This window comes from Homo sapiens, chromosome 2, assembly GCF_000001405.40.
Source record: "Homo sapiens chromosome 2, GRCh38.p14 Primary Assembly".
Lineage (NCBI taxonomy): Eukaryota > Metazoa > Chordata > Mammalia > Primates > Hominidae > Homo > Homo sapiens.
The window spans coordinates 173,452,047-173,462,530 of record NC_000002.12 but is presented as its reverse complement, the minus strand read 5'-3'; positions in this window follow the sequence as shown (position 1 = coordinate 173,462,530).

Here is a 10,484-nt window from a genome sequence, read left to right as displayed (position 1 = left end):
CTTAAAGAGGTATCTGCTCACTCTGCTCTTCACTAGCTGCTGGTGTCACCCCGCACACTGTTTTTGTCCAACAGTGGTGTGTATCCGCTCCCCTGGCCTCTCAGCCCAGACAGAACTCAGGGGAGCTCCAGCTTACACCTCTCTTTGCCAGAACTCCACCTAACCCACCTCCTAAGAGCCAGAATGAGACATGTGGGTTTCCCGGGTCATGACTTGGGACCACTTTAAGTCAATATCCTTTAAAGAATCACTCAGCATTCATATAGTGAAAAAAAGAGAGGGCTGCATAGGAGAAGCGCATAAGAGGACACTGTGACAGTCCTTTGCATAACACCAAAGCCTTGAACTTAGCTGACCTCCCCTTCTTGGGGGCACTTTGTTCACCACTTGTGGTTACCTCAAGCATGCTCTTCGCACCAGAGAGTTCTCCAAACCTTTCCCCCACCCTAAAGGGTACATCAACAGATTCCTTCCAGCAGGACACATTATTCTCCCTGAAATGCATCCTAAATACAATTTACTCCATCCCTTCCATTTCTACTCTGTTTAAAAAGTCCTTAAAAGTGGATGTCTCCAGGACCACCTGCCCAGTTCAACCCTCATTCCAATTCTAATGTTCTATCCTACCTCAGCTCTGAATAGAGCTGAGATCTGACCTGGGGTGGATTCCATGGGGAAGAACTGAGGGATCCAAGCAGTAACAATTGAGGAGCAAGTAAGGAGAGGACACTAGTATCAGAAGCAAAGAGCATTAACAAGCTGAGGAGCCACCTACACCCTGCACCTCTCTTGGGGCTGGGATAAGGGTTACAGTCACTGGAGGGCTCTGAGGTAGTCTTGCCCCCTAAGACTCCCTGAATCACCTTTGCCACACAGACAGCCCCACTCCCTCCCCAGGATGAGAGTCACCCACCCACCCACATAAGTCTGGTCTTTGCAACAAATGAAAGGATGTATATTCACTTGAGCTCAAGTTTCATCATTTCTTGAACCCCTTGGTGTTAGAGTTCCATTTTTTTTTAATGTCGACATTTGAATATTAGTATGTATTATCGAGAGCTATAAAATCAGGAAGGATAATAGGACATCCTTATTGACACAGGGTGTGTCTGAGGGCATATTTGCAGTGAAGATTAATTTCTAACACATTTTCTTATAGGCGGCTGCTCAGTGTCACCAACCACTGGCTAATTCATTAATATTATTCAGCGAAAAACATTTCTTCCATTTCATTTGTTGATAAATTTATTTTCATTTTCATGGAAATCAGTCCCTTCCAAGTTCATTTAAGAGGAATATTTCATAACTTTCTAGTGTGGGAAGTATTTTTATTTAAATATTTGCAATAACTAAATGGAGGACTTAAACCTCTCATCTTTAAAGGTATTTTCCTTGTGGTTCATGAATGCTTTGTGGTTATAAAAGATTGTGAAACTATTAAACATGACACAGAAAATTAAACAAAAAGGAAATTAATTTCAGTTACATTGGCTCCATTGGTATTATGTATTATATATCAATTAAATAGTAGGAATTTATTTTTACATTTGAAAATGTATAAGCTTATCATCTGCCTCACACAGAAAGAAATAAATGTCTGGAATAATAACATCAGTATGGGAAATCGTGTTGCAAAATTTTTAATTATATGCAACTATTATTGAGTTTTTCTTAGTAAAAATAAATAAAAGGTCAAAAAAAGGTGGATTTCGTAGTGTGAAATGCTTCTAAGAGAAGTATTTGATGGAGTGTTTCATGACATCTTACTGCTCTGATAATGCAGCATTTGGGAACCATGGGTACTATGGAATCATGTCATTTCTACTTTGTAGTTTTCATTCATTTTTATACCCAATAGAAGAAGCAACATTTGTGTATGCCTGAGACTTGAATGATCGGGTCTTTGTCTTATTTTTTAGAAAAGAAGTCTTTTCCCCTATCTATTTCTAATGTATTTTGTATATTTATTTTAGAGACAAGGTCTTGCTCTGTCACTCAGGCTGGAATGCAGTGGTGCTATCTTGGTTCACTACAGACTTGACCTCCTGGGCTCCTGCCTCGGCCTCCCAAGTAGCTGGGACTATAGGTGCACATCATCACACCTGGCCAATTTTTTAAAAATTTTCTGGAGAGATGGCAGGGTCTCACTATGTTGCCCAGGCTGGTTGGACTCCAGGCCTCAAGTGATCCTCCCACATCAGCCTCTCAAAGTTCTGAGATTACAGGCGTGAGCCACTGCACCCAGCCCTAATGTATTTTGGATGTAAATCATTTTGTTATTACATATGAATTCATTTTGTATGTACTCAAAGTACATGAGAGAGGAAAAAGAAGCAATGCCTTACAATCAGCGCAAGTCACCGTGCAGTGGCCACCTGCAGTGGTGAAGTAAAGGGGCATGCAGGAAGCTGAATCCCAGGTCAAAACCAAGCCTTGGTCCAGCCTGAACAGAATCACTTTCAAAATATCTTGGCATTAGTCAACCTGTCTTCTAGAAATACTTGTATATAATAATGAGAAAATGTTCATCGTGATTATTTTCAGTAGCATAGTACAGCCAAGCCCTCAAAAAGAGGAAGTTTTCATTGGTAAGGCATTTCATTTAAACATTGAAATCTGGTGTAATGTGAAGTATGAAATAAGTTTTGAAAGGAAGCTGATGATTAAGAAGAAATGCAGTGGGCATTTAATAACTGGAGGAACCGCAAGATAATTAACTGGCATGCATAAAGATTCATGCTTTATACCAAAATTTTAATTTTGCACATAAATGTGCCTGATGTAGGCAGCATTTAATCACCTAGCTGACAGGAGTAACTACTTTCATTTAACCTTGACTGAAGATCATGAATTCTAACAGGTTTAATTGGATACATCATTTAACAGAATGAACAGAGCAAATTTTTCTCAATTCATAGGTTCTGATTGACATGCACCAGCAATAAGGCGTTGCACAATTACAGCTGCTCTGCATTCCTGCCCTGGGCAGCAATTGCCATAGTGATGTGACACCACTGGATCACTGTGGCACGGGAACGATACTGAATCTCCCCTTGTTTTGAAAAGGGCAATGCTTTGAAAAAGAAAGAAAAAAAAGGAAAGAAAGAAGGAAGGAAAAAAAAGAGAGGGGGGGCTGGAAAAGAAAGGGGCTTAGACTCTTAATTTTTTTTCATATTAATCACATTGATATGCACATCCTGTAAGGGAAGGGGTAGGTCTTGTTATCAGCCACATGGAAAAATGGGGGAATAATGGCATTATCTTTTATCTGTTTAGCACAGTTTTTTTCAGAGTGTCAAAAAAGTCTATAGTTACACGAAACAGACTCAAAAAAGAGGGCCTAAAAGCAAATCATGCCAGCTTGAAATCTCCAATCCTTCTAAAGAAACTGCAGTGTGATGTGGGCTCATGGCGCTGCTCTCTATGCTGGGAAAGCTGCTGCTGCTGCCTTTACCGGGAGTGTGGGCATCTCTGCCACCAGAGTTCAACTCTCCCGGGGGGACACAGACCCTGGGCGTAAATGAGGGTAGAAGACAGGATTCAAAATGATCCTCTTTCTCTCTCTTCCTTTGCTTCACTTACAAAAACCCAAATGAATCGAGGAGGATGAAAAACAAGAGAAAGTGATTTTCCAAAATAAAATTATAAACCTTTCTGTAAAAGGTTTATAACCTATAAAATGAACAATATCCAACCTTAGGAAATTGCTCATGGGGCTAAATCCTATATTTCTTGGCCAATCTCAAATACCTCAAATATCTTTATAAATATTCTAGAAAGAATCAGAAAATTTAGATCTCAAGAAACACTCTGCAAGTTCTGTTAGTTTCAGATGTGAGAAAAAAATGTTAAAATACTTATTTTAAAAGACTTTCCTCTACAAATCAAACATGAATAGTTACTAGAATTCTGGCACTCTTAATTAAAATAAAATTTAAAAAACATTAACAGTTACTATTGTTTCTTCTTTTTTTATTTTTTGTGGAGATGGGGGTCTCAACACATTGTCTCGCCTCAGCCCCCTGAAGTGCTGAGATTTCAGGTATGAGCCACCGCGCCTGGCCCACTGTTGTTTCTTTTTTTTGTTGTTGTTGAGACGGAGTCTCCGTCTGTCGCCCAGGCTGGAGTGCAGTGGCACAATCTTGGCTCACTGCAAGCTCCGCCTCCCGGGTTCACGCCATTCTCCTGCCTCAGCCTCCTGAGTAGCTGGGACTACAGGCGCCCGCCACCACGCCCGGCTAATTTTTGTATTTTTAGTGGAGACGGGATTTCACCGTGTTAGCCAGGATGGTCTCGATCTCCTGTGCCTCGGCCTCCCAAAGTGCTGGGATTACAGGCGTGAGCCACCGCACCCAGCCCCACTGTTGTTTCTTTGCTTTCCACTCGTTACCCTTGGTCAACAAACCTGTTCAATTATCAAAATCCTCCACTCCTGCAGGCTTGGTGTTTGCACCCTCTGCCTCTCTCCCCATGTGACTGTCAGTAAACACTGATTTGCTCATTGGTTGCCCTCTTACTCATCACCTCCTCCTCACGCCACCCCTGCAATACTACCCAGACTGGGGGGCCCTTGACCACGGACACTACATCCTACGTGTCCATATCCCCCCTTCCCAGAGGGGTGCCTCACGGCTAACCCTGAGGGCCACAGTTATTCAGTGAGTGGGAATGGGGGGAGGGCGGACGCTCAGAGTAGAGAATCAGAAGCTCCTGCTCTTCCTCACCTGTCTTTCCCTTCCCCTCACCTAGTCTTTCTGCCTTATCTCTCCCTTTTTTCTTTCTTTCTGTCTCTCTTCTAAGCCTTGCAAATATTCATTCACTCAGCAGAAGTTTACTCTGCATCTGCTACGTGGCCAGGCCTGGTGCTGAGCACAGGGGCCTCCAAGATGCCTAAGACAAAGCTTCCCTCCCACAGGAGTCCCACGGGGAAGACGGGGGAGAAGCATGTCATGACAGCATAATGCTGTTTGTACTGTACTGATGAGCAACAAGGCTGTACCACTCAGCAGAGGGTGGAGATGGGACGACCTCTGCCTGGGGTTCCGGGAAGCTTTTGCAAAGGAGGTGGCATACTCAAATGAGGAGATACTTTGGAAGCCTGGAAAGTTAAATAGAGAAAACGGCATTTGCAAGATTCTCGGGTGTGAACTAGCATGACTTAGGTTCGGTATGGAAAGTAATTCTGCGAAGCAGGGGTAGAGGCAGGGCAGGAAAGAAGGGGAGTGAAGCTGGAGGGGTAGACAGGAGCCAGCCCGCAGAGGTCCCAGGGTGGCCAGCCAAGGCGTCCGCGCTCTCCCAGAGAGGACAGGGAAGGTGGAAGAGGGCTGGCTGGAGGAATGGCCTGTGTTTTGGTAGTGTAATCCCGATCGCTGGTGTGAGGAACGGATTTGAATGAGAAAAGAATAGCGAAAGTCTAGAAAGGGATTTCAGATTTCAGCGGCTCTTGCACAAGCCCTCCCCCTCCCCTCTCTTCTGTGGCCATCCCACCCCCTTACATTCCTGAATTCCTGTGTTCTTTCTTTCCTTTCTCTTTTCCATTCCCACCTTTTCCCTTTCCCTCCAAAATAAACTCAAATAATCTTCCAAATAATTTTTGAACAAAAATCTTTGAAATTTGGTAACAGTCAGTAAAGAGGTTCGTCTCCAGAGCATCCTGCAGTTCCAGCGAGTTCCCTGCTCTTCTCCGTTCCCACCGAGGAGAGGGTAGGAGGGAATGGCCCAGCAGGAAGGACTTCGGTTAGAGACTAGGAAGACAGTTGAAGAAACATCTGGGCCAGGCCGGGTGCTGTGGCTCACGCCTGTAATCCCAGCTGTTTGGGAGGCCGTGGCAGGTGGATCACGAGGTCAAGAGATCGAGACTATCCTGGCCAACATGGTGAAACCCCATCTCTACTAAAAATACAAAAAATTAGCTGGGCGTGATGGCACACAGCTGTAGTCCCAACTACTCAGGAGGCTGAGGCAGGAGGATCGCTTGAACCTGGGAGGTGGAGGTTGCAGTGAGCCGAGATCACACCACTACACTCCAGCCTGGGCAACAGAGCAAGACTCCATCTCAAAAAGAAAGAAGGAAAGAAAGAAAGAAAGAAAGAAAGAAAGAAAGAAAGAAAGAAAGAAAGAAAGAAAGAAAGAAAGAAAGAAAGAAACATCTGGGCCCAGTCTTCCCCAAGGGCTACGGAGCCATGGAGACTGCTGAGGAGACTCCTGTCCCCTGCCCCCAGCATGGGGTCCCCATGGGCTTCCAGGGCACCTGGGCTGAAGCCAGAACCCTCATCCACATAGTGCCTGCCCTTGGTGCTCTCCCTTCCTCCTGACCCCAAATATCAGGTGCCCTGCACACTGGCCCGCCTTAGTTGCCAAACGAGGTGTCACCCTGGTAAGGTTTGGATCTGGGTCCCCACCCAAATCTCATGTTCGATTGTAATCCCCAGTGCTGGAAGTGAGGCCTGATGGGAGGTGACTGGATCACAGGGTGGATCCTTCGTAATGGTTTAGCACCATCTCCCCTTGGTACTGTCTAGTGAGTGAGTTCTCATGAGATCCGGTTGTTAAAAAGTATACGGCACCTCTCTCCCCACACCTCTTCCTCTGGCCGCGTAAGATGTGCCTGCTTCTCCTTTGCCTTCTGCCATGATTGAAAGTTTCTCATGGCCTCCCCAGAAACCAACATGCCTCCTGTACAGCCTGCAGAACCGTGAGCCACCTAAACCTCTTTTCTTTATAAATTACCCAGTCTTAAGTATTTGTTTACAGCAATGCAAGAACAGATGAATACACACCCCCACTGGCTGACAGTGAGGCAGTAAGAATTGAAGCCCCCGTTCTCTGGCAGGACACCCACTGCAACTAATTCCAAGAGGAATGGGGACCACTGTCCCTTCAGGTCCATTATTCCAGGGAGGATTGAAATAAAAGCCTGGCTCACTACACTCTCCTCCCCTCTTCCCAGGAAGAAATTATCTGGGCTTCTCGGTCCCTCGGGCTCAGTAGGGCCCCAGTGAGCCATGAATCCCTTGATACTGATATTCTTTTCCCTCATGTACACATCAACCCACCCCTTCACTGAATTGTGAGGGTGTGAGGTCAGGGGCCAACTTATCCATCTTTTTACCATCCTCCCCTTCAGGTTTATAGCACTGTGTCCAGCTCTTGGTAGCTGTTAGGGGTTGAATTATGTTCCCTCAAAATTCTGTGTTGAAGTCCTAACCTGTAGTACCTCAAAATGTAACAGTATTTGTAGATAGGGTTTATATAGACTTTTACATTTTAGCAGAAGTTGAAATGAGGTCCTTGGGATGAGCCCTGATCCGATATGACTGGTGTCCTTATGAAAAGGGGGAGTTTTGAGACAGACACGTGCACTGTCTCTCTAAGGAGAACGCCTCGTGAAGACGAAGGCAGAGGTCAGGGTGATGCTTCTACAAGTCAAGGAACAGCAATGCTTGTCAGCAAACCCCCAGCAGCTCGGAAGAGGCCTGGAGCAGATCTTCCCTCACGGGCCTCAAAAGGAACCAGCTCTGCCAACACCTTGATCTTGGACTTCTAACCTTCCAGAACCGTGAGACAATTAGGTCTCTGCTGTTGAAGCTGCCCAGTTTGTGGTACTTTGTTATGGCAGCCTTGCAGAGGAATACAGCAGCCTATTTGTCTAATAGATTGTTTAATCAGAAGGTTCTAGAAGGAGAAGGATGTTCTTCTTGGTGAAAGATTGCCCACCTTGCCAGATGTGCTGCCATCAGTGCAGTTTGAAGACATATTAGATAGACTTTGCAGTATCTGGTCCTTCATCCTAATTTGTTTTAATGGTCTAGCTCAGTTCTGTGGGGGCACAACTAAGAGCCAGCTGTCTGGGGAGAAGGGAGGGGTGTAGAAATGGCGGAGGGTTGGAGGGGGACTTGTTAACTGCTTGAGGAATTTTAAGTGGTGGCTAGATCAGGGCCAGCCTAAAAAATAATTCCACACGCCCAAGGAATACTGACTTAATTTCTTTCCTCAGTTCCGTAAGCAATTATTTCCCATTTCCTATCAGGTACTTGGCCTCAGTTTCCCTAGATATAAAACAGACTGATGGGGCCCAGGTGTGGTGCCTCACACCTGTAATCCCAGCACTTTGGGAGGCCAAGGCAGGAGGATCGCTTGAGCCCGGGAGTTTGAGACTAGCCTGGGTAACATAGGAAGGATTCATCTCTATAAGAAATGAAAGAATTAGCCAGGCATGGTGGCATGTGCCTGTAGTCTCAGCTACTCTGGAGGCTGAGGTGGGAGGATCGCTTGAGCCTGGGAGGTTGAGGCTGTGACGAGCTGAGATTTTGCCACTGTACTCCAGCCTGGGTGACCCAGTGAGACCCCATCTCAAAAAATAATAAATAAATAATAAAAACAGTCTGTTTTATCTATTATGACAGCTCAGTAGTCCCCAAAGGGACTTTGAGATGCTCATATTAAGTTGCATATCTGGGGAGAGTTATCATCATTTTTACTATTATTTTCAGTGTTAAATGTTTTTCATTAAAATATCATGAGCAAAATTATACATAATGCTGTGTCTACAAATGCCTTCCCAATATGCTGTGTGAGCATAAACAGTTTCCTTTCTTCATAGAAGTTCTTTACAAATGTTAAATGAGCAGATGATTTGTTGAAAGAGAGCAGCAAGTTAGAAACAAGCACACAAGGAAAAAGAAATGTTCTTTTTTTAATTTTTTTTTTTTTGAGACAATGTTTAGCCCTGTCACCCAGGCTGGAGTGCAGTGATGTGATCACAGTTCACTGCAACCTCAAACTCCTGGGCTCCAAGCAATCCTCCACCTAGCTGAGACCTCAGGTGCCCGCCACCACGCCCAGCTAATTTTTTTTTTTTTTTTGTAGAGACAGGGTCTCCCTTTGTTGCCCAGGCTTGCTTTGAACTCCTGGCCTCAAGCAATCCTCCCACCTTGGGCTCCCAAAGAGCTGGGATTACAGGCATGAGCCACCGTGCCCAGCCAAAAAAAAAAAAAATTGTTCTTTTGCTATTTGAACAATGATTCTTCCTAAACACGGCTTTTCTTTTCCAATTCTTCCTCTTCTCACCATCCCCCTCTACCAAAGAAACAGCCAACTCTCTTGAACACATGTACACTCACAACCTTCATTTCCCTACCCATTCTTTCCACTTATCCCTGGTGAGCTCCACCGCCATTGCAACTGGCTCAATTAGAGCCCCATCTCCTTGGCCCCCTTTCCCCATCACACCCCCAGCAGGAAGTTCTGCTGCCACACGCTGCCCCAGCTCCCCAGCCCTGGCTCCCTCCCTCTGAGCAGTCAATACACCAATATGCCGCAGCTCTTCAAATCTCACCTTAAAAGCTTCCCCTACATTTCATTTTGGCGGCAGCTCTCAATGCAAAATGTTTTGGGACACTTTGTATTAAGTGTGTTATTGGCACTAATGGTACATAAAAATCAATTGTATTAAATCTTCATGACTTCAGGTAATTTGTCTGGGAAAATGACATTCTCCATTTCCCCCTAGGATTTTGAATTTGTCTGTATGTTCTTTTTCCCACCTCGGTGCTGTTTTGAACAAACAACAAAAATTACATAAACTGTCGAATATCCTTTTCTTCACATTTTCCCTACTGCACCTTCTCATTGTGTGAATTGGCACAGTCTCCTGAACGCAATTGTGTTTACTTCTGGGCATACTGTATAATTTAAGTTTCTGCAATATAAAATAAGTCTGCGGCGATATTTTTACTTGTTCCGACAATGTCCAAAGTTGTCTCTCACTGTTTTTATTTAAAGGAACTAGACACAAACCTGGCTGCTTTAACCACGGCCTCTGGGAGGGCTACAGCTGAGAAAATCCGCTGTCAGGAAGAAGTGAATAGAACTAACAAGACTATTGAGCGCGCCAACAGATTAGTGAAAGGTCTGGAGGTGAGGTCCTACAGGGCAGACTAATGAAGCAGGCTGCAGAAAGCACTTCTTTGTTATACACTACTGATCTGGCAATAACAGCAGCACTTAGCAAAGAGCCTGATGAGCTGAAAAAATTATGTCATTATCATTCATTTTTTTCATAATAGAAACATGTTTTTGACCTTTACATTTTCTTACATTTTACCATGCTGCGGCCTGTATTAACTGTAAGATTACCTAGTGACTAGCATATTCACGAAACCCTACAGGAAAGGGAACAGCCGCTCTTTCCTGAGTATTGACAAATAAAGTTGATGCAATAAAAAAAAGCAAAGACTTTATTTGGAACAATTAGACAATGCTAATGACAGAGCCCTAGGTTGGTTTTCCACGAAGCGCAATGCAATTTGTCCGACTTAGTTAAGGAATATGATAATGCCCTAATTATCTGTCTAAGATGTGCCCTGGATATTACAGAGGAGACAAAGGATAAAGAGTGGCAAACCATGAATTATCCGAAATAATCCATATTGTTAAAGGTTGGCTCCTGAGAAAGTCTGGTCACTGGCAGCTTTCTCATTTGC